Raw genomic sequence first — 22,359 nt, 5'->3', positions numbered from 1 at the left:
CTCTACTAAAAATACAAAACTTACCAGGTGTGATGGTGCGTGCCTATAATCCCAGCTACTTGGGAGGCTGAGGTGAGAGAATCACTTGAACCCAGGAGGCTGAGCTTGCAGTGAGCCCAGATCTTGCTACTGCACTCCAGCCTGGGCAACAGATTGAGGGAGACTCAGTCTCAAAAGAATTTTTTAAAAAAGTAAATAAATAAATAAAATGAATTCTCCAGCAGGCCAGCTTCCTGAGCATAGGGCATGGCTGTCTTGTTCACCAGCCTGTGCCTGCCACAGAGATGGGGTCCAGTAAGCATCTATTGAGCACTGAATGAACCAGAGAAGGTATATGAGTCCCCCAAGGTCACACAGCCCATCTTTGGCTGAAATAGAGGAGCTCTCATTCCCATGTGGCCTGTCTATGCCTTAAAGAAAGTCCAAAGTAGGCAGAGTTTGGACTTAGAGAGGATCCTTCATGTGGCAGGATGCATCTTTGAAGACCTCCTTTGGTTGGGAGCCTCTCTGCTGAGCCTAGTTTAGCCACTGATGATCAGGGAGGCTGGGGAAACCGTTCAGCTTTAAGTAGAGTGTTAGGAATCTGTGAACACTAAAGATCTGCCGGAAGGAGCTACCCAGTGGCTTGGGAATGAGATATAAGCTCCATTACACTAGGCACAGCCAGTACCAGGAGAGGGAGTGGTAGGGGTGGAACCAGTCCCTGCTGAACCAGTCCACCCTGCGCCAATGGGACAGAGTTTAGTTGGAGGACAGCATGGGATGAGAAAGGCAACCCTCCTCCCACTCCAGGTCCAGGGCAGGCATTGCTCACGGATCACTGAGTTCCTTGCAGCCAGGCCAGGATGTGGCCTCAGATTCCCTTTAACACAGAGCTCCAGGAATCAAGAACCAGTCAACCCGAGCTGGACCTCAAAAGGAAGCTTGACCCTCCATCCTGATTCTATGTGGAGCTGCCAGGGGTGTACACAGAGGTTCCTCTGAGGGTCCTGGAGGAGACTGCTTCTCTCTCAAGTCCCAGTATCCCCAGGTCAGCCCTTAGATTTCAAAATCCTCTTTAAAACAAAAGCATAAAAACCCCCACAAGCAACAACAAACACTTTTTGCTCCAAGAAAGAAAAGCCAAACTGTTCAGCCCTGTTCAAAAGGGATGGCCAAAGGCCCGTGGCTTCAGATTGTCCCACAGCCACCAGGTGGAGAGTCATAAGCCAGGCAGCCCCACGCCTTCCTCACTGGCCCAGTGGGGCTGTGGGTTCCCACCTCCTCTGCCAGCCACCCAGGGACCCAGCTGGCTGGGGGACCAGTGTCCTTGCTCTGCCAGTTGTGGCTCCTAGCTGATGAGACCCGAGCTTAGGTTTGGCTGGGAGGCCAGAGGCAGAGGGAGGCATGCCACAGCCACAGCCACCTCCAGGGAGGAAGAGGCATGTCCAGGAGTCCATCCCCGGGCTGGATTTACCCAGCTCCTCTTCCATAGTACCCGTGTGCTTGATCTTCCTCGAAGGCTGCCTTCTGGCCTCCTTCTCTTCTCTCCCACTCTCCCTCCTCTCCCCCACTCCTTCTTCTCCTCCCCTCTCCTTTATCTCCCTTTCCTCCCCTTCTTCTCTTTCCCCCTTCCTCCTTCTGACCCCCTCCTCCCCTTTCTTCCTCTTCCCTCCTCCTCTCCTCTTCCCTCTTTTTCCTCTTTTCATCTCCCTCCTCCCTTTCCCTCCTCCTCCTTACCCCCTCCCCCTCTTCTCCTCCTCCCTCTCCCCTCTCCTCCCCTTGACCCCTCCTCTTCCCTCCTCCTCCTCTCTTCCTCCTTCCTCCTCCTCTTTTCATCTCCTTCCTCCCTTTCCCTCCTCCTCCTTACTCCCTCCTCCTCGTCTCCTCCTCCCCCACCCTCTCCTCCTCCCCTTTCTTTCTCTTCCCTCCTCCTCCGCTCCTCTTCCCTCCTCCTCTTTTCATATCCCTCCTCCCTTTCCCTCCTCCTCCTCCCCCTCCCCTCTCCTCTACTTGGCCCCTCCTTTTTCCTCCTCCTCCTCTCCTCTTTCCCTCCTCCTCCTCTCCTTTTTCCCTCCTCCTCTTTTCCTCTCCCTCCTCCCTTTCCCTCTTCCTCCTCTTCCTCTTCCACTGTCCACAGCAGATGAGGAAACTGAGACTCCAAAGGTGAAAGGCCTTGCCCAAGTCACACAGCTTACAGTGACAGCGACAGGAATTCAAACCAGGTCCGTCTGCTATCAAAGCCTCTGTTCTTAGCCACTATTCTGTGCATTGGCAAGGTGACTTGTTCCAGGGCCCATTTCAATGGATTCCTAATTGAAATGCCTATGTCAGTGGATCTCAAACTTGAGCAAGCATCAGAATCCCCTGGAGGGCTTCTTAAAACCCAGATGGCTTCCTGGAGTCTCTGATTGCCAAGGTCTGCAGTGAGGCCCAAGGGTTTGTGTTTCTAACAAACTTCTGGGTGAGGCTGCTGGGGTTGGTATGGAAACTAGACTTTAGGAACCTCTGGTCTCTATTAGATGGTGATATACAAGATCCCTGCCACGTTATGGAAATATCCTCTCCTTTCACCAGGAGAACCTGGGGAATGACATGATTTGGCTTTGTGTCCCGACCCAAATCTCATCTTGAATTGGAATTCCATAATCCTCACGAGTCATGGGAGGGACCAGGTGGGAGGTAATTGAACATGGGGGTGGTTTTCCCCCCATCCTGTTCTCATGATAGTGAGTGAGTTCTCATGAAATCTGATGGTTTTATAAGAGGCTTCCCCCTTTGCCTGGCACTCATTGTCTCTCCTGCCACCCTGTGAAGAGGTACCTTCCATCATGATTGTAAGTTTCCTGAGGCCTCCCCTGCTATGCGAAAATGTGAGTCAATTAAACCTTTTTTCTTTATAAATTACCCAGTCTTGGGTATTTCTTCACAGCAGTGTGAGAACGGACCAATACAATTACTAACTTCTGGGTGACCTTGGGTGAGTCCCTTGCCTCCTCTGGGTTCAGTGTTCTCATCTGTACAGTAAGTGTTTCGATATGATGTTTTGTTCCCTAGATAAGCCCAAAGAAGAAGAGAGCAAGGAAGACAGTTGGGTAGACTGGGCCTGACTTCTGACTATAGAGACCTGTGTGACCTCAGGCAAGAGACTCAATCTCTCTGGGCTTCAAGTTATCTGTGAAATGGAAGAATGAAATTAGATGGTTTCTAAGTGTAAAGCTCACTGAATTAAAGGATTGAGGATGGTGGGGAGAGGTCGGTGGGGTTCTAAGGCTGATCAGACGATGAGGACATAGTCCTCCACCTGCCCAAGACTTTGAGGCCCAAAACACAGGTTTCTCTCCTTCTCTCCCTCCCTCCCCATCTCCCTCTCCCTTCACCTTCCCCTCCTCCCCATTACCTTCCTCCCTGCCCTCCCTTTTCTTCCTTTCTTTCTTCTCCTCCCTTCCCCTCTCTTCCCCTCCCCTGCCCTTCCCTTTTCTTTTTCTTTCTAAAAATATTATTTTAGGCAGTCGTAGGCAGTCTTGGCTTTGGAATCAGACAGACTCAGATCCAGCCATGGCTCGGTCAGCATGAGCTTGGCGCCCTGGGCAAAACGACTTCTGCTCTGTGGCCCTAGCATCCTCATGTGTAGAATGGGCAAGTGATGCCCCCCCGACGTGGGTGGTGGTTCACACGGCTTACTCCATGGAAGCACTTGGCACAGGGGCCCACATGGGCACTTCTGTTATTTCTTCAGTCTGGAGGCCAAGGGTGGGCCTCCGAGCCAGACAACATAGTTGGAATCCCAGCTCTGTCAGCTGCTGGCGGTGTGGTCTTGAGCAAGTGACTTAATCTCTCTGTACCCCAGTTTCCTTATTGGTAAGACTGGAGTAGTAATAATTCCTGTTATCTAGGGTTGCCGTGAAGAGTAAGTACGCATCGCCTAGCACGCTGCCTGGCTGTCGGTTGTTTTGATTATTCCACTAATGATGGTGACCACACAGCCGATGAACCAGGCACTTAGCGCCTGGTTAGGGCAGGGAACAGAATACAGTTCTTTCCCTACAGAGTTCCTGGTGCAAGGAGTTCTCGGTGCAAGGAGAGAGACATCTTAACAGGCAAGGACAGCACTGCATCAGTGAGGTGATGGGGTGACCCTGAGGGGCACAGCAGCCCCCGAGGGTTGGGGAAGGCTTCCCTGGGAGGTGACCTTCAACCTGAGACCTGAAGAGGCAGTAGGAGACCATCGGGCCACGAATTAGGGCAGGAATAGCATCCAGGTGGGAGGAACAGCGTTGCAAAGGCCCAGGGTGAGAGGCAGCCAATCTCTCGGTCAGTGTGGAGCTTGAGCCCCTCACCGGGAGCAGAGGCGCTTGCACTTCCCCCAGCAGCCGGGTGCTCAGATGTGCTCCCTGTTTGCGCTCAGTGGGCACGGCTCCCCGGCTGCAAGAGGCTGCCAGAGGGGCGGGTCGTCCCCAGCGGGCCCCCGCCGCCACCCACAAGCCCAGTCCCCGGCTGGTAGGGGCACCCTCCCCTCGCAGCCCCCTCTCCACGCAGCTAGCCGCCCCCGCCCTAGGTCAGCCCAGTTTCCTGCCCCTCCCTCCTGCTCTCCTCCCTCCAGCTGTTTCTCTGGCTGAGTTCTGTCCCAGTCCCATTCAGGGAAGCAGCCCCGGCGGCCAGCAGGGAGCTCAGGACAGAGCAGGCTCCCTGGGAAGCCTCCGGGTGATAGGGGTGTTCCAGCTGCGGCGCTCTGGGGGTTCAGAGGGGGATCTTGAATGAACAAATGAATGAACTGCTTTCTGGGCAAACAGCCACAGCCAGAGGAGCCTGTGATTGGCAGAAAGAAGCCAGGGTGTGCAAGTCTCCCCAACAGCCTCGAGTGGCCTGCAGTCACAGGGAACCCTCAGGAAGACCTTCCGGGCAGAGACCAGAGGGAAGGTATCATCACACACTTGCCTTGGGTGTCTTCTGAGGGGGGCCAGGGAAGGGGAATGAATACTAACAGAGAGAAAAGTTTGTTTCTTTTTATAATTTCATATTTGTTAAAAGGAAGAGTTTTGTTATTATTTTCAGATGTCAAAAGTAATGCATGTTCATTGTTTAAAGAAATAGCAAGGATACACAACTAAATATATGAATGTGGATTTCCACATCTAGTTTGGTAACCTGCTTAACCACAGATTGTGAACTTTTTTCCATATCACCTATATTCTTCCAATATACATTTTTCATGGCTGCATAGAAAGGCTATCTTAAGATTATTTGACTTTTCCATAATAGATTTGCTTCTTTTTTTTTATTAGAACAGTGCTGCAATGAATATTTAGTATGACATCTTTGTGTGTGTGTCTTATGAATACCTTTTAGAAATTGCTAGATTTAAGGTTTGCCTATTTTTAAGACTTCTGAGCTTTTGGTCACACTGCACCCTGGAAGGCCGTGGCAGCTTGACCTCTCTACGATGTTATACCAGGGCACAGTATTCTCACATACTAAACCCACCTTGTTGCTACCCATCCCTTAAACTTTCCCTGATGTGAAGTCGAGAATAATATCTAGATGCTTCAATAGGCATTTCATTTCTTTGTTAGTGTTGATTCTCTTTTATAAACTTATTTTTCACATTTCTAGTCTGACTCTCCTGTTCAAGTCTGTTCCCATTTTTTTCTCCTCTGGGGGCATGTTTATCTTTTTCCAATTGATATCTAAGGGTTCTTTGTATATAAAGGACACAAAACCTTTGCCGGCACTCTCTGTTGAAAATATTCCACTCCCTCCTCTGTCTTCAGAATAGCCCATTTTAAATGGGCAAGCCAGCTTTGGCAAAATTATAAGCATTACAACATCAGGGAACTACTACTTGATATAAGCCCAATCACTCAGACCTGTGCGGTTCAGAGATGCCAGATCACTGGTCTGAGGTCACACGCCTGAACGTCCAGGTTCTGAGTCTTTCTTTTTCTATTAGGGAAAGCCCTCAACTTCCCTTTTGCATCCCCTACCTCCTTCTCAAGACCAATCTTCTCTGTGGTTCTTGCTGTATCTCCTGCCCCTTCCAAACTGGTTTGAAGGTAAGATTCCTCTAAATGCCTTGGCTGCTGAGGTGAGTGTGACTGGGTCATTCAGGCCTCTGGTGCAGGAGGAGGCAGCTTGGCCTTTTCTTTAACCTAAACCAGTGGCACTCAAATGATGATGTGTCATACACTTGGGAGGTCCACAGGAGAGTTATCTCTTGATGCACAGGGGCCTTCTTTGGACTCCCCCAAAACTTCAGGGAACAGATAACCTTAACTTTGGGCAAGTCATGCCTTTCTCTGGCTTGACTTGTTCTGAGAAGTCCCCTACCCGCACTGGGTCAGGGCTTGTCTGCTAGGCTCTCCCAGGGCCTATCCCTCCCTTATCACGGCTCCTACCACACCGTGTTCTAATGACCAGTCATCTTGTCTGTCTCTCCTTCTAGCCGGGAGGCCCCTAGAGGCCAGATCTGGGATATTACTTTTTTTCTGCATCCTCAGTCCCCTGCACAAGAACTAGCATATATTAGGGTCATTGTTCATGGAATAAATAAAGTAACCAGGTGTCAGTTTCACCATCTGTAAAATGGGGTGGGGGAAGTTGGACTGAAGTCCCATCTCTTAGATGTTTACCTAATAACTCCTCTCAGTTTGCAAACCACTTTCTCGAGATGATTTTATCAAATCCTCACCATGGCCACATGATGAAGGTACTATTAACATGCCCATTTTACAGATTAGGAAACAGAAGCCTGGAGAGTTCTGATGCTAGACCTCCCCACAAAAGGGAGTAGAACATTGTGCAAGAAGGGGCACCTTGGTCTTAGGCAAGGTACTCCCACTCTCTGGCCACAATAATATCATCTGTAAATAAGGATGATATTATTTGATATTATTATCACTCTGGGGGTGGGCTTGAATTGGCCTGCCACCTGCCAACTGAGTGACATGGAATCAGTTATTCCTCATCTTTGTGCCTGAGTTTCCTCATCTATAAAATGGGAATATGATCAGTAACTGCCTCATAAGATTATTCTAAAGAGTAAATGAGATCATACAAGTAAAGCTGTAAGCAGAGGATTTGTTGTAAAATAAGGTCTCTATAAACATTAGCTATTGTTCTGATGATCATTTCTATTCCACTGTGCCTGTCTATACCTGTGACACTCATCTGAGCCAAATGGAAATTATTATTGATTTCTTTAGTGGATTATTAATGCTCTTATTCCCACTGATGTACAAGAAAACCAAAAGCTTATTTCATTCTCTTTGAGCTACACCACATGGGTGCAGACATTACCGCCAGTTGCGAGGCTATGAAGTAGACTCAGAGCTTCTCAAAGTGCAATCTCTAGACCACCTGCATTAGAATAATTGTGAGTGTTTCTTTTTTTTTTTTTTCCTGGAGATGGAGTCTCGCTCTGTCGCCCAGGCTGGAGTACAGTGGCGCAATCTTGGCTCACTGCAAGCTCTGCCTCCCGGGTTCACGCCATTCTCCTGCCTCAGCCTCCCAAGTAGCTGCGACTACAGGCACCCACCACCCCGCCCGGCTAATTTTTTGTATTTTTAGTAGAGACGGGGTTTCACCGTATTAGCCAGGATGGTCTCAATCTCCTGACCTTGTGATCCACCCACCTCGGCCTCCAAAAGTGCTGGGATTACAGGCGTGAGCCACTGCGCCCGGCCAATTGTGAGTGTTTCTTAAAGCTTCAGTTTGGAAATCAGAATCTCTGTGGATGAGGCTTCAGTGTCTGCATGTTGAACCAGCACCCCAGGTCATTCAGATGCACCCCAAAACTTGAGAACTACCAACCTAGAGTGCTTAAAAGTCTTTCCTTTTTGCCCTTTGTTCACACTGGGGTCTTGGGTTCTTTGCTGCACAATAAGGTTTCTTTTTTCCCTTCTAAGCAAATATTCATGTACTTCTGTGAATCCACATGTTCCGTGTCAGCAGTTGAGGCCAGAAGGTTTGGCAGAGAAGAAGCGAAACTTTGTCTTATAGTACCACAGAAAGTCAGATCGTGTTAGCAATCCCCCAGCATGGAGGCTTTGAAATTATTTTCAGTTGCAGAATCCTTTCCACAAATGAAAGTCTTATGGGGAAGTGTAATTTGAAAACAGATAAAGGTGGTGTTATTCTTGTTGAAACAGAGGTGGAAGACTCCAGGCTGCCACTAAATCTCACTCTTGTTGCTGAAGGGCCTCTAAGAATCTTTGTAGCTCCATGGGGCAGGCAGGAAACTGCAACTCCTCTACTCCAAGGAGTTAAGAGACCAAAGTTCTAGACATTTGTTGAGCTTACTGTGTGACCTTGGCAAGGCACTCTTACTCTTTGGCCACAATAATTTCATCTGTAAATAAGGAGGTCGAATGGTATATCAGCTAGGGTAGTAGCTGCAGTAACAAATAGGTCCCCAAAGGCATAAGGGCTGAAGCAAAGCAGAGCTTTATTATAAGGCAAGTATTTCTGAATGGAGGGTGGTCCTCTTCCTCATGGTACTTCAGTGACTCATCTGGTGGTCCCACTCTCTCCTCAGATATCCTCATTGTCTGCAGCCAGGTGCACAAGACAAAAGAAAGTATGGAGGTGGCATATTTGCTTATCTGCTTTGGCCTGGAAGCAGCAGACATGACTTCCACTCACATGAGAACTATCATGTGGCCAATCTAGTTGCAAAGGAGGCCAGGACATGGAGTTACAAGGATATGAGGTTCTTGGCAAAGAGCAGCTCTTTCCCAGCCACAGTCGTGTATTGTGGACAGGGAGAATGAATTTTTGTGGACAGCTACCTGTCTCTGTCACAAATGTGGTGACCTCTTGGGTTGCTTCCATTCTTTGATTCTAAGTCTACATTTCCATTAGTCAATCTTAGTTAACATGGTGATGTTGGACTCACAACATCACCTATCCTCAAGGTAATTCCCATCAAATATACTAAGTAAATTTCCAGACTCCAGGCCCCTAAACATGGATTTTTCTGAAACATAGGCAACTGCCATTCTCTTTTCCCCCTGGAAAAAGGAAATAAGAATAATGGTTTGATAGAACATGCTGCGGGTTATTAAGCCAAAGGTATTTATATCCATTATCTACTTGAATCTCCCTACAAGCCTACATGGAAAGGCCTCAGGACTATCATCCCCATTTTATAGGTGAATAAAATGAGGCTCAGAGAGCTAAAGGGACTTGCCTAAGGTCACACAGCTCATAGCAAAAGAATGGGATTTGAACGAAAAACATCTTATTCCTGTCCTAGGGCCCCACTGCACATTTGAATGTTGGTGTTCATGTACGTGTACATGGTGTGGTTAGAGTCGGGATTTTCCTTGGGCTGGGCTCCCCCAGGGCTGGGCATGAGGGAAGTGAAAGCTCAGGAATCATGCTCAAACTCCCCAGAATGGGCCAAGGCTGCTGACTGTAAGGCAGCTGGGTGGTTGTCCTAGGTCCTGGGGTGAAGAAGTACAGTGTGACCAAGTATTACAGCCACTGGCTGTGTAAAAGAGAAGGGACAGTGCATGAGGGTGTTGTGTGGTCCTGGAAGACACTGAGGCTTCAACTGGGCTGGCCACATAGTGGGTGCCTGGGAGCACTTTCCTGTGTGAATAAATGCATGTGGGAGTAACAGCTGCAGCACTGTGAGAAAATGAGATGAATCAGACCTGCTTCCTGTCTTTGAGGCCCTCAGGGGAGGAGAGACAAACTTGTAACATATACTTTTATTAATTCACTCAACAAACATTTATTAGCATCTACTACACGTCTGGCTCTCCACAGGGCAAGAACGATGGAAAGACAGGATTCCTATCCTTGTGGAACCCATTTGAGAGATGAGGAAAGTGAGGCCCTGATTGGTTACGTGACATTCCCAAGATCATTTGGCCAGATTAGGACTTGAAACACCTGGCTTCCAGCCCAGCACTTTTTCCATAGCCCCTGCTGAGGAGGTGGCCGTAGGCCAGGACTGAGATGCAGTGAGGAGCCCCTGTTATTGGCAGCCACTTTGAGCTGCCGCCGGACTCAGGACATGCTGGTTTCAGGCGATAGCACGAAACCAGTTATTTCTTTTTAGAACCTCTAGATTTTTGCAGCAATGGACACAGGTATGAATGAGAAAAAGTAGAAATCCTTGCACTGTCAGATGGAATCAAGAGGCAGTAATTCTACGTGGTGCTATCAGAGAAAGAAATGTTGACGTCTGGGTGACGTTGGCTGGTAGCACACTGTGGTGATGATAGATCCCAGATCCAAGTGCTCCAGAGTTGAGATCCCAGCTCTGAACTTTAACCTCCTGAGCCCCTCAGCTTCCTCATTCATAAGGTGGGCATGCTATGAGTACCTGCCTGTCAGGGTTATGGTGAGATTAAATGAGTCCATATCCATCAAGCACTGAGTACAGCACGTGGTCAGTTCAGTGAAGGCATTTCTATTTTTATTTTTGGGACAGTGAGCTTTGAAATTGGCCTTTGCACATCTGGGTGTCTGGTGCCTTGTGATCTTGGGTTCCCAGACTGGAAAATGTCATTTGGGCTAGTCTCTTGCCTCCATGTCTGGCCCCAAGGAGAGGTCTTGGGCTCTGCTGGTGGAGAGTGCCCTGGGCCTCACTGTCTTCACCATAGACAGTCTCTGGCAATGTTGGAAGTACCAGCGGCTGACTCAGCAGGGAGGTCAGCTGCTATCCAGGCAGAATGTCAGAATCGGTTCTGCTTTCTTGGGGTATAGGACATGGGTCCTCAGATTCCAGCCCTGGGTTCCTGCTGAGGGCAGCTCTTGTGCAAGGAGGTGGGTGGGTGGGGAGATGGGTACAAAAAACAACAGTGAGCACACTTGGTTTTTCCTCCTGGAAATCAGGGGTCAGAGAAACAGGAAGTCAATGGAGAGAGGGTGTGGTGTAGTGAGAAGAGGGCAGGCCCTGTGGTCTGGCAGATGTGAGTTCTAATCCTGGGTTTGACACCTATTGATTTATTTTTTATTTTTTGAGACAAAATCTCATTCTGTCACCCAGGCTGGAGTGTAGTGACATGATCACAGCTCATTTGCAGCCTCGACCTCTGGGGCTTAAGTAATCCTCCCACCTCCTGAGTAGGTGGGACTATAGGCATGCATTACCATGTCTGGCTAGTTTTTGTATTTTTTGTAGAGACAGGATGTATTAGTCAGGGTTCTCTTAGAGGGTTCTCTTACGGTTCACTCTCTACATATAAAAAGGGGGAGCTTATTAAGTATTAATTTACATGATCACAAGGTCACACAATAGGCCATCTGCAAGGAGAATCAGTCTGAGTCCCAAAACTGGAGAACTTGGAATCCGATGTTCGAGGGCAAGAAGCATCCAGCATGGTAGAAAGATGTAGGCTGGGAGGCTAGGCCGGTCTCTCCTTTTCAGGTTTTTCTGCCTGCTTTATAGTCTCTGGAAGCTAATTAGATTGTGCCCACCGGAGTAAGGGTGGATCTGCCTTCCCCAGCCCACTGACTCAAATGTTAATCTCTTTTGGCAACACCCACACAGACACATGCAGGATTAATACTTATTATATTTTAATCCAATCAAGTTGACACTCAGTATTAACCATCACACAGGGTCTCACCACATTGCCCAAGCTGGTCTTGAACTCCTGGACTCAAGTGATTCACCTGCCTTGGCCTCCCAAAGTGCTAGGATTGCAGGCATGAGCCACCGCATGTTTTTGCGGTGAGCCCGGCCACCTATTGTTTTTGTGAGCATGTGCAAGTCACATACATATAACCTCTTTAGGCCTCAGTTTCCTCCTGCCCAGGGTTGTTGAGAGAGTGTCTGCCATGTTCTTTGGCCTGGAGTAGGTGCTCAGTAAATGACTTGGGGTGGGGAATAAGGGCAGGGGACACTCAAATGCCCATCCTTTGTTACCTGAATTGGTTTGAACAGTTATCAGAATCTATGAATTCCTGAGTGTTATATGAAGTAAGAATTCAGGTAGCAAGTGTATATGTTTCCTGTTACTGCTATAACAATAACCATAAACCGAATGGCTTAAAACAACACAAACTTATTATCTTATTAGTTCTGGAGGTCAGAAGTCCCAAATGGGTTTCACTGGGCTAAAATCAAAGATTGCATCTCTTCCGGAGGCCCTAGGGGAGAATCTGTTTGCCCTCCTTTTCCAGCTTCTAGAGGCTGCCACATTCCTTGACTCATGGTCCCCTTCCCCAGCCTTCAAAGCCAGCAACCGCAGGTTGAGTCCTCGTCACATCAAATCACTTTGACTCTCCTGCCTCTCTGTCTCATTTTTAAAGACGCTGAGCTCACCTGGGTAATCCAGCATAATCCCACCATCTCAAGATTCCTAATGACGTCTGCAAAGTGTCTTTTGCCATGTAGGATGACATATTTACAGGTTCTGGGGATTAGGATGTGGACATCTTTGGGGATCTGTTATTCTGTCTAACAGTGACATTGGTCTGCATCTGATTGTTTCTTGAATTTCGAATTTAGATATTGGGAGTTCAGGTGGCCATCTATTGACAGTTGGTTCAGCAGAGTATTGACCAATTAGAATGGATGCAAGTGTAGCAACCAGTGAGGCTTTACCAGGGAGTATTCAGTGATTATCAGGACCGAACCAGGAACCAGACTTTGGCATCATTTAGACTGCGTTCACGTCCCTGCACTTATGAACCTGCTGACTCTGAACGAGGGGGTTCTCCCATCTGTGAAATGGGGATGGCGGCATGTTGTACATAGGGTAGTAGTTAGGATGGAAGGAGATAGTAAGAGTTAAGTGTCTGGCACCTGGTAGGAGGCTCAACAGGAATGAATGATCCCCCAGGAGTTTAACTTCCCAGCTTGAGTCTCTCCATCCCAGGTACTGGTGATTTCTAGTTATGAGAACCTTTCTGTCTCTGCCCCATGCTAGGGAGACATGCTTGTCTGGCTCATGGGCTGCAAGGAGCACAAGGGCTCCTTCTCTTCCCCCCTGTAAGAGAGGAGGTTCATTTTTGAGGATGTGGATGCTAACTAGGAGGGGAGAAGGTGCCAGCTGCCCAGCCAGCCTTGTGTTTGACCTGGAAGGCTCTTGGGATATGTGTTGGCTTGAGGGCTGGATTATCTTTGTCCCCTAGGCTGCAGGAGCCTGCAGCCCCCATTCAGCTGTTCTACTATCAATGGGGCTCAGTGTCTCCTATGTCTACCTCCTTCTGCTCCCAGTCCTGCTACCAACTGCTCTACTTTATTTCCAAGTCACTGTTTATATGCCCCAAGAGGGGCTACCTCATTGGTTCATGTAATCCTTCCAGGGTCCCCACTGGATCCCTGCTGGGGTTCTCTCTGATGGTGGATGGATTCCCTCTGAATCTGGAACTTGCATTTCTAGAAGGTCCCAGAAGAATCACGAATTGGCATTGAATTGAATTGGCACTGACCTTGACATGATCTAGTCCAGGGATGGAAGTCCACACCCCTCACCATGTGCTGTGGCAGACATCACACATCAGTCATGACTTTTCCTCTAGTTGAACCCAGATGTCTTTGTCATTTATCTTTGTGGATCAAACACCCCCAAATTTAGTGGCTTGAACTGACTTATTCATTTATAATTATGCAACTTAGCAGAGTTCTGCAGGGACAGTGCATCTCTGCTCCACATAGTGTTGGCTGCGTTACTCATGGGCTGCATTCAGCTGGGAGCTTGACTGGGGCTGGGATATATAAGATGATCTCACATCCTGGAACTTGTGTGCTCTGTTTCTCTCTTTCTCTCTCTCTGTAGCCCATCTCTCCAGCAGAACTGCTTGGATTTTTCTACCAGGAGGCTCAGGGCTCTGCAACAATGATAGCAGAAGCTGATGGCATCTAGAGATCTAGGCTGGGACTAGCACAGCATCACTTCTACCACTTTCTGTTGGTCACAGCAACTCACCATGCCAGTGCAGATTCAAGGGGAGGAGAAATAGAGTCCACTTCTTGATGGGAGGCGTGACATGTGAGTATTGGGGCAGGGTGGGATGTTAGAGTCTATCTTTAAAGACAATCTACCATCTTCATCTTAAAACAACGAATGACAGTGGCCATCTGAGATAATCATTTGTCACCCTAAGTTAGACTACACTCCCATTTTTCAGATGGGAAAACTGAAACTCAAAAAGGATTTGTTTAAAGGAGCCTCTGTTCACTTCACAAGCATTTACTGAGCACTAACTGTGTGCTAGGAGCATGGGATACAGGGAGCTCCTGTTGAGTGGGAGACAGGTGAGTAAACAGACAGAGTGGAGGCCCATCTAGCCAGAAGGTTGGCTTTAATGTTGGTTGCTTGGGGCAAATTTTGCTCACAGGTCACAGTCACCCATGATGATTCCATTCATCATCCATTCAGAACAGTAAGTGACTACTGGGCCATTTTTACCAAGTGCTTATTGTTAAATACCCTCCCACTTATGCCTGCTTGATACATTTAGTGTGCAAAGTACTGCAGGAGTGAAGTGGAGGTAGCTTTCACTGGGGAAGCCAGGAAATAGTGCTTCGAGAAGGAAGCATATATTCGAGCTGGGTTCAAAGGGTGAATTGGCCTTCAGTTGCTTATAGGAGCAGTTGGCTAGACATGAGAGAGATTTTAGGCAGGGAGAGCTGCATGAACACAGATCCAGAGACTTGATGAGTGCAGGGAGTCTGGCGTGGTGGGCAGGAAGCAGGGATGGCAGGAGGAGGTCGGAATGCTCCTCAGGGCCTTGAAGGCCCCACCCAATTTTCCAGGTGGTCCAATGTGCTTTATTTCATGGGAACAGCATCCTGCTGCCTCCAACCCTTGCCCTCTCCAAACTCAGTTGATTAAATTTGAACATTTGGACAATGGAAGATTCCAGACAACCCGAAGCTAATTAAGTTTGAAATTCCAGTGGGCATGCTGGTTTGTGGCTTTATCTCATGGGGTGTCTGGCCCATAAACCAGCTTGGAGAAGAGAATCTTTCTCTCCACTGGGGGCTTTCTTGATTGAATGGTGGGTCCCCCTCCCACCACTCCCAGGACTTGCTGATGGACGTAGGCATAGAGGCTGAGAGGAAATGAGGTGTTTCCTTTTGGTTTAATCCTAAAGGAGAGCTGATATAAGATGGCACTTTGGGTTGCCCAAGGCCATTTGGTGATGTCTTTACTGGAGAGAGGCAGACTTGGCCACCAGTTGCAGCAGCCAGACTAACCCAGGCTGGGCATTAAAGGGCCCCCCGGCCTCCTAGCTATGGGGAGGTACGGCTGACTGACGTCAAGAACAGGTCTTCAGGGAGTGCAGGCAATTTTCAGTCTTTTTTATGACAGACTCAACTCACAGGGGGCCTCTTCAGCTGTCAGGGATTTAGGTCATGAAGAAAAAGGGCTTCCCTTGAGTCAGAAGGGATGGCCACCGGGTGGATAGAGGCAGCTGCTCCGCTTTCTCCAGACCTCTTTTGAAACCCATTTCAGCCACGTGCTGGCTGGGAGGCCTCAGAAGAGTTGCTTAACTGCTCTGAGCCTCAGTTTCCTCAACTTTACGAAGAGGATCATAAAAGGGCTTTCCTCACTGAAGTGTTGTGGGGCTTAAACGAGATCACGTGTGGCCCGGAGTTGGGGCTAAAAAATAAAGCGTGGCCTTGGTGTCAGGGGGCTTGCCTGGTGGGGAAGGGATGCGGGAGATCAGCATTCTTGAACCATGAGAGGCTAAGAAATGCCGGTTGTAGGCAATGCCAAAGTCATAGTTTCGTTCCAGGCTTTTCCCTTTCGACTTCCTGCCTTGGCCAAAAGACATGGTAGGGACTGGGTGGAGACCTTGACTTGCTGGCCTCACTTCTCCCGGGGGAAGCTGGCCCTGTCTGGCCTAAACAGGCCTTTCTTTTACTGTTTTTCCCTCTCACCCCATGAAAAGCCTCAGATGTGAAGGAAATCAGGAAATCATAAACACGACTCTGGGGAGGGGAGAGAACTGCTGTGAGCAGCCTGTGAGGCCAGCTGGTGGGGAGATACCCTCCCTTCCCCATCACAGGGTTTCTGACAGGTCTCCCGGGAGGAGATTGTCAGGCTGGGACCCCGGACATCCTCCATGTCCTGGAAGGCTGGCCTCTGATCCACACTTTCTCAGCCCCGTCCCACCCCGTCCAGTGTTTCACATTTTCCCGGGGCCCAGGAAGCCCACTGCACCTCCTCGTTCTTCCTTCCAAGAGCCTTTTGCGTTGGTTCCACCGCCTGAAGGGACAGGTAGCCTTCACCCATGGAGTTCAGGCTGGGCTGCTGCCCAGTCCTGCTTCCCGCCTCCAAGATTGTCCTCTGGGACCAGTCCTACCTCTTGGCTGATCACAACAGGCTGCTTATAAGCCAAGTACCTACCTGCTGGCTTCACAGACACTCATCAGATGTGTGGGCAGTGGGAAAAACAGTCCTATTTTATAGCCAGGGAAATGGAGGCCCAGAGAGATGATGTGTGTTCACTCACTCCTTCATTCTCTAATTCACAACATCTCTTTCTCTCTTTTAAGAGACAGGGTCTCACTCTGTTGCCCAGGCTGGAGTGCAGTGGCGCAATCATGGCTCACTGTAGCCTTGAACTCCTGGGCTCAAGCCATCCTCCCGCTTCAGCCTCCCAAGTTAGCTAGGACTACAGGCATGTGCCACCATGCCCAGCTAATTTTTAAAATGTTTCATAGAGACAGGGTCTCACCATGTTGCCCAGGCTGGTCTCAAACTCCTGGCTTCAAGTGATCCTCCTGCCTTGGCCTCCAAAAGTGAAGGAGTTATAGGCATGAGCCACCGTGCCTGGCCTCAGGACATCTTTCTTAGCCAACCCCCCTCTCTGTCTTTGAAAGGCAGCCACCCTCTAGCAGCTGTAGCTCTTTGCTCTTTGGTGGGTTCTATCGTGTTACAGTTCCATGTTTGGAGTTAGACCTGAGTTCAAATCCTGAGTCCCTTGATTACCAGCTGGGTGATCCTGGATCAGTTTCTCTCTCTCTCTCTCTCTCAGCCTCAGTTTTTTCACTTATAAATTAGAGTTGATGACAGGATCTGCCATGAGTTGTGTGGTGAGGATTAAATCAGCGAATCCATGAAAAAGCACATAGCAGTGGGACCAGTGCTTAGTAGATCCCTTGTAAAAGAAGCATGCTGAAGATTTCCTTGCACTTAAAATAAGGCAGGGTGCATGCGAGGCCCTTGGGAAATGCTTTCTGAAATGCGATTGAATTCTGCAATCACCTCCTCCGCTCTAGCCCCCAGCCCCTTAGCAGCCAGCTTTCCCCTGTGTGTGATGAGGCCCAGAGACTGAGGCTCAAAGACATCAGCTGAGTGCCCAAGGCCACATCGCCCAGGCTGACCCTGTTCTCCCAGTCCCCTTCTCCAGAGTCCATGAATCCTCCCCTGTGATTTCCAGGCCTTTCTGCCTTTCACGTGCTGCAGACCCTTTCTATACTGATTATGGCCTTTATGATGGGACTGTCTCTTCATCTTCCATGGCTTGACTCATCAGTGTCATGGCCCATTGCCTCAGAAGCCTGTTCTCATCCAGATGGCCAGTTGGAAACCAAAGCAATAAACTCACTCACACTGAGGTGTTTGCAACTGATGATAGCTTGCTGGAGTGGAAGTTTTGGGAGCAGGATGCCTTAAGCCAGCAGAGAGTGCTCAGGGTGGGGGACATTCAGGTGCTGTGGACATAAACACAGGGAAGGGGAGGCTTTTGGTTGGGGATCTTCTTAGAGACAAGCAAGCCACAGCCTCCTCTGCTGCAAGGACCTGAGGAAAGAAAACTACTGAGTCAATTTCATAGGAGAAGTTTGTAGTTCCAACTTATTTGCACCTCCGTTGGGGCCTCTCTCTTCCTCCCTTTTCTTGTAGACAGAATGGCCAAAATTGGGTTATCTTAAAAAAAATGACAAAGCTGCATGTTAGCAGAGTTCAGAGAAATAGGGCAGGCCTGGGAGGTCACGGAGGTGAGTGTCCCAATCTTGGTGCACTCATGTCTACACTGCCCACCCACCCGCCAGCATTTCTGACAGAGCCTGGGGGTAGGAGTGGTTACCCCAACATGTCCTGTGCCCTGGATGAGGAGCCTGGGGTCCTTGCACTTTCTGCAGAACTGGTAAAACTGTCTTTCAACTCATTTTCCTCCCCTCCTTGTTCAGGGAGTGGAAGTGAGAACTGGGAGAGGATGTGGTGTTGGTGGCTGCGCTGGTGTGGGTAGAAGTGCATTTTATCCAGGTGTGTTTAGAGAGGCAGGATGGCAAGACGGTCAAAGCTTCTGGAATTCGGTGGCTTGGCTTCAAATTCCTTGACTTCCTTGCTTGATTGCCTCAGTTTCCTCATCTGTAAAATGGGTGTAAGGATGATGTTGCCTCATAGGGTTATCTGGGTGGGGCAGGGGGAGATGGATCTGTGGGAGGGTATGTTTTATTTCTTTTCTTGCTTTTGGTATTTGCAACAGCCAGCTATTTAAATATTTTTGGTATTTGCCACAGCCAGCTATTTACCCATTGGGGAAGTTGGAATTGGGCTGATAACAGTAGGGGTGCAAGTTGCCTTGCACCTGCCAGGAGTCTACACAGGGCTGCGCTTAGTGAGTGTACAGCCTGAGCTATTTTGTTACCAGCAACCCATATCCCCAGCCACGATGTGGATTTAGTAAGAAGCTCTGTGGCTCTGATCTTCATGCTCTCAGGTGATTGAGAGTGGACAGGGGTGAAATGAAAGAAGCCACAGTCCAAGGCAGGCCCCCAGGACAAGTTTCCAGAACGACTCATGAGGCTTGTCTGGGTGTCTTCTGGCTCCCCGAGGGGTGTGGTGTCTGGAAGCCCTCTGGAAATGCTGGGGACAACTCCAGGCTGCCTGATCCCTGTCCTCCCAGTGCACCTTCCACAGCCCTGGCTCTGCTGCCCTGTCTCGGCTGCTCCGTCTCCTTCTCCCTCCTCCTTTTCCTCTTGCCCTCTTTCTTCTGTAGCAAGTGCTCTGAACCAGCTGTGGTCTTCCAGAGGTTGAGTGCAGCAACTTTGGGCAAAACCAAGCACTTATTCCCGGTGGGAGTGTTCTCAAGGCCCTGGGTATTGACAGGGTTCTTGCTGGTTTCTTCCCTCTGGGACCTGGCTGTGGTCAGACTGGAGGCTGTGGGAGGAAGCATGCTCAGGCCACCCACCACATTGTGGGTGCTCAGTAAACACTTGCAAGGAAATGAACAAGTGAGCCCAACAGCAGAAGGGTGCACCCTCAGCCCTCAGGGAATAGGATCTCTTTCCCTTAGGGAAAACCAAACCCTCACTAAAATTATTTCAAGACCATGTGTTTTATTTTTAAACTGCATACAATTATTTTGAGGGCACATGCTTTAAAAAAATAGCTTGGGAACTTTGCATTCAGTGCCATAATAGGCCCATGCATTTAAAGATGAAAGTGGAGCCCCTTGGAAGTCTTTGGGTCGGCTCCAGGGAGAGGCGCCTCGTCTGTGCTCTGGCTTCCCGTCTGCGTGGCTTGCTTGGAGAAACTTGGGGTAGAGAACTCATGGATTTTCAGGTCTGAGGGGAGTGCTCCCACATGATAGGATCCTCTTCCCCTCACCTCTCCATTGTATATTGGAGGGAATAGGGGCACGGGGAGGTTAAGCGACTTGCCCAAGGTCACACAGCTGGTAAGCGGCAGAGCCAGGGCTTGAATCCAGGCAGCCTTCACTACAACACTTGAAAAGATGCCCCTTTGGTGAGCCCTGTTCCTATCTGCCCCCCTACATCTGTGTCTGGGCAGCCAGGCCACATTTCCTGGACAGCTGAGATGTGCTTGTTCTACAACAAGCGTGATCACATGCAGCTCCCAGAAAAAAGAGACCGGCAAGAACCCAGTCGTCACCAGGGACCCCAAGTACCTTTCCACTGGGGACAGGTAAATGCCTGGTTTTGCCCAGAGATGTAAACTCTGGGGTCTCCCTGCTGGAGCCCTAGACCTCTGGCCTGGGCTGGGTCTCTGACAGGGAGGGGACCTGCCAGGGCTGGACTGTAGACCCCTGGTCTCTCTGGAGCTGGAAGTAGTCCTCTGTGCCTCTTATCAGAGGTCCTTGGCTGTGGGGCCAGCCTATTCCTCCAGGTGGCTTAGCTGTTGCCAGTTCCCTTCCCTTGGCCCCTGTGCCACTGTCTGTGTGGCAGTCTGGAGTTGGCAATGATCAAAGAACTCATTTCCAGAAGAGGAAACTGAGGCGCTAGATTGGATATCAGAGAAAGAGGACTGGCATCCAGTCCTGTTTCTCCAGCCAAGCTTGTTTGTGAGCTCAGGCAGGGACTGCACCCCAAGTCCTACACATTGGACCAGATGGCAACTTCCAGCTCAGTGTCATCTGAAGATTTGCAGCCTTGTGGTTCAGAGAGGGGCAGAAACTTGTGCAGGTTCATGGAACATTTGGAGCAGAGTCAGGACTAAAACCCAGCCTTCCTGTCTCCACTGCACCTTGTTCATTCCTCAGGTTCCCTCAGGGAAACATTTGAGGGCTAGGGTTTGAATGGAGAAGGCAAGCTGTCCTTTGGGTCTTAGTTTCCCCCAATGTCAAACAGAAGGGTTGACAACCCCAGCCCACCGGAGCCTGTGTCCACATTTTTACCAGTCTGCAGATAAGCCACAAAAATAAATAAATAAATAAATAAATAAAATAAAAAAGGGAAAATCACAGATAGCAAGGTAAGCATTTCATAAAGTGAAACATTTTCAACTGAAAAAGATGAGTCTATGTCTCACCTATTTTCGTGGGTATTAATGTGTTGTTTCTTTTCTGAAGTGGTGGTGATGGTAAAGGATGGTTTTAGTTTTGCAGTGTCCTTACTTGGCAAATGTAGAAAGGTGGCAACTCTATGACAGTCTCAAAAATTTGTGGGAAATGTAACCAGTTCATGAAATCCCAAGGCGTGAAGTTGACTGAACTAAGCTGGTCTCTTGGGCTTCTTTGAGCTCAGTGGGGGATTCAGGTGGGCACTGTCTGGCTGAAGGGGGAATCTGAGAGAATGAGGTATGGAGGGAAAGGTATCTGCTGCCAGATCCAAGGCTGGATTGCAGGGGGAGAATGCACCTGGCACATAGTAGGTGCCCAGCTGTGGCAATTGGATGAAATGATTACCATGTGTCTTAGTCCATTTTGTGTTGCTATAAAAGAATACCCAAGGTTGAGTAATTTACTAAGAAAAGAGGTTTATTTTGCTCATGGTTCTGCAGGCTGCACAAACAGCATGGAATCAGCATCTGCTTCTGGTGATGGCTTCAGGGAGCATCCATTCATGGTAGAAGGGGAAGGGGAGCCAGCATCACATGAGGAGAGGAGGGAGAGAGGGAAGGAAGGTGCCAGGCTCTTTTAAACAATCAGTTCTTGTGGGAACTAACAGAGTAAGCCCAGGGCTAGGGGAACCTGTTGGCATAGTATCAACTCCAGCTGCCAAGTCAGGGAAGGCTGCCTGGACACAGTGAAATTTGAAGGACAAGCAGGAGTTGGCCAGTGGGCACCCCAGGCTGAAGTAACTGCAGAGGCACAAAAGCATTGCACTTTCACACGATACAGCTGGAGAAGAAAGTTGTGAACTGAGTTGGGATTTAAAGCTGTGATGGTGGAAACTCAGGCACTGTGTGGAGCAGAGGTAGAGTTTCAGCCGGAACATATGGACCCCAGTGTCTCCCTAAAATCCCAAAGGGGTGGCATGACTAGGGGACGAAGCCCTGAGCTTCCCTCCCCAAGCCCTGGGAGGTATGCACCAGGTAAGGGGTGCTTTCTCCTGAGCTCCAGCAGGAGTTCCAACCCGTTCCAGGGATCCGGGACTCAGAATTAACATCCTAGCCCTCAGACTGTTACCACTTCTCCCTCCACATTTAGAAAGAGCCAAAAGTGCCAGCCCACCTCCCAAGCCCCTCATGTAACATATACCTGATTACCCAAAAGCAAAGATTTATCCTTTCTCCCCTCCCTTCTTCTACCTTCCCCTCAACCTCTTCCTTTTAAACAATCAATTCTTGTGGGAACTAATAGACAACTCACCCATTACTTGGAGGACAGCACCAAGACAGTCAGGAGGGATCCACCCCTATGACCCAGACACTGCCCTTAGGCCCTACCTCCAACACTGGAGATCAGATTTCAACATGAGATTTGGAGGGGACAGATATTCAAACTGTATCACCATATGTGCTCAATTCCTAGTTCAGTCAGGGCAGTGAGCAGAGAGAGAGCCTTGGCTGGAAGGGGGCTGTGTGGGGAGGAGCTAGGGAAGGGCATCAGGGTGTCTTAGATCTGGGAATACAGAGGAGAGGAATGAGTCAAAGTACATTCTAAGAACCCCTGCAGTGGGTTCTGATCTGGATCCCTGTCTCAGATTGGGTTTCCCTGAAGCAGAGCCTGAGACAGGGATTTGGGTGCACGTTCTGTGTTAGGGTGTGCTCTCCAGCA

The 22,359-nt window shown here is 49.2% G+C and overlaps 1 protein-coding gene across 3 annotated transcripts in view, besides 3 other annotated features; it reads left to right on the top strand.

Annotated features, from left to right (window-relative positions):
- Positions 4,332-4,451: a silencer, noted in NCBI's record as "silent region_4826". NCBI's record gives its function as "represses an Ori minimal core promoter by ATAC-STARR-seq in GM12878 lymphoblastoid cells {active_cell/tissue: GM12878}" and the evidence as "EXISTENCE:reporter gene assay evidence [ECO:0000049][PMID:35858748]".
- Positions 4,559-5,182: an enhancer, noted in NCBI's record as "H3K4me1 hESC enhancer chr12:108732521-108733144 (GRCh37/hg19 assembly coordinates)". NCBI's record gives its function as "activates a minimal SCP1, AML or CMV promoter by ChIP-STARR-seq in naive H9 embryonic stem cells {active_cell/tissue: H9 hESC(naive)}" and the evidence as "EXISTENCE:reporter gene assay evidence [ECO:0000049][PMID:30033119]".
- The window catches only part of CMKLR1 (chemerin chemokine-like receptor 1), a 51,266-nt gene continuing 33,521 nt past the window's right edge, over positions 4,615-22,359 (top strand). For 2 of the 3 annotated variants that reach the window (NM_004072.3, NM_001142343.2), the window contains exons 1-2: positions 4,615-4,899; positions 13,719-13,931. The gene's annotated coding sequence lies outside the window, so the exon portion shown is untranslated. The remainder of the gene's footprint in view (positions 4,900-13,718; positions 13,932-22,359) is intronic. The other variant, NM_001142344.2, reaches the window with a different exon arrangement.
- Positions 9,567-9,716: an enhancer, noted in NCBI's record as "active region_6959". NCBI's record gives its function as "activates an Ori minimal core promoter by ATAC-STARR-seq in GM12878 lymphoblastoid cells {active_cell/tissue: GM12878}" and the evidence as "EXISTENCE:reporter gene assay evidence [ECO:0000049][PMID:35858748]".

Source organism: Homo sapiens, chromosome 12, assembly GCF_000001405.40.
Source record: "Homo sapiens chromosome 12, GRCh38.p14 Primary Assembly".
NCBI classification, from domain to species: Eukaryota; Metazoa; Chordata; class Mammalia; order Primates; family Hominidae; genus Homo; species Homo sapiens.
The sequence above is the reverse complement of the archived record's forward strand: the minus strand, read 5'-3'. Positions and strand labels throughout refer to the sequence as shown.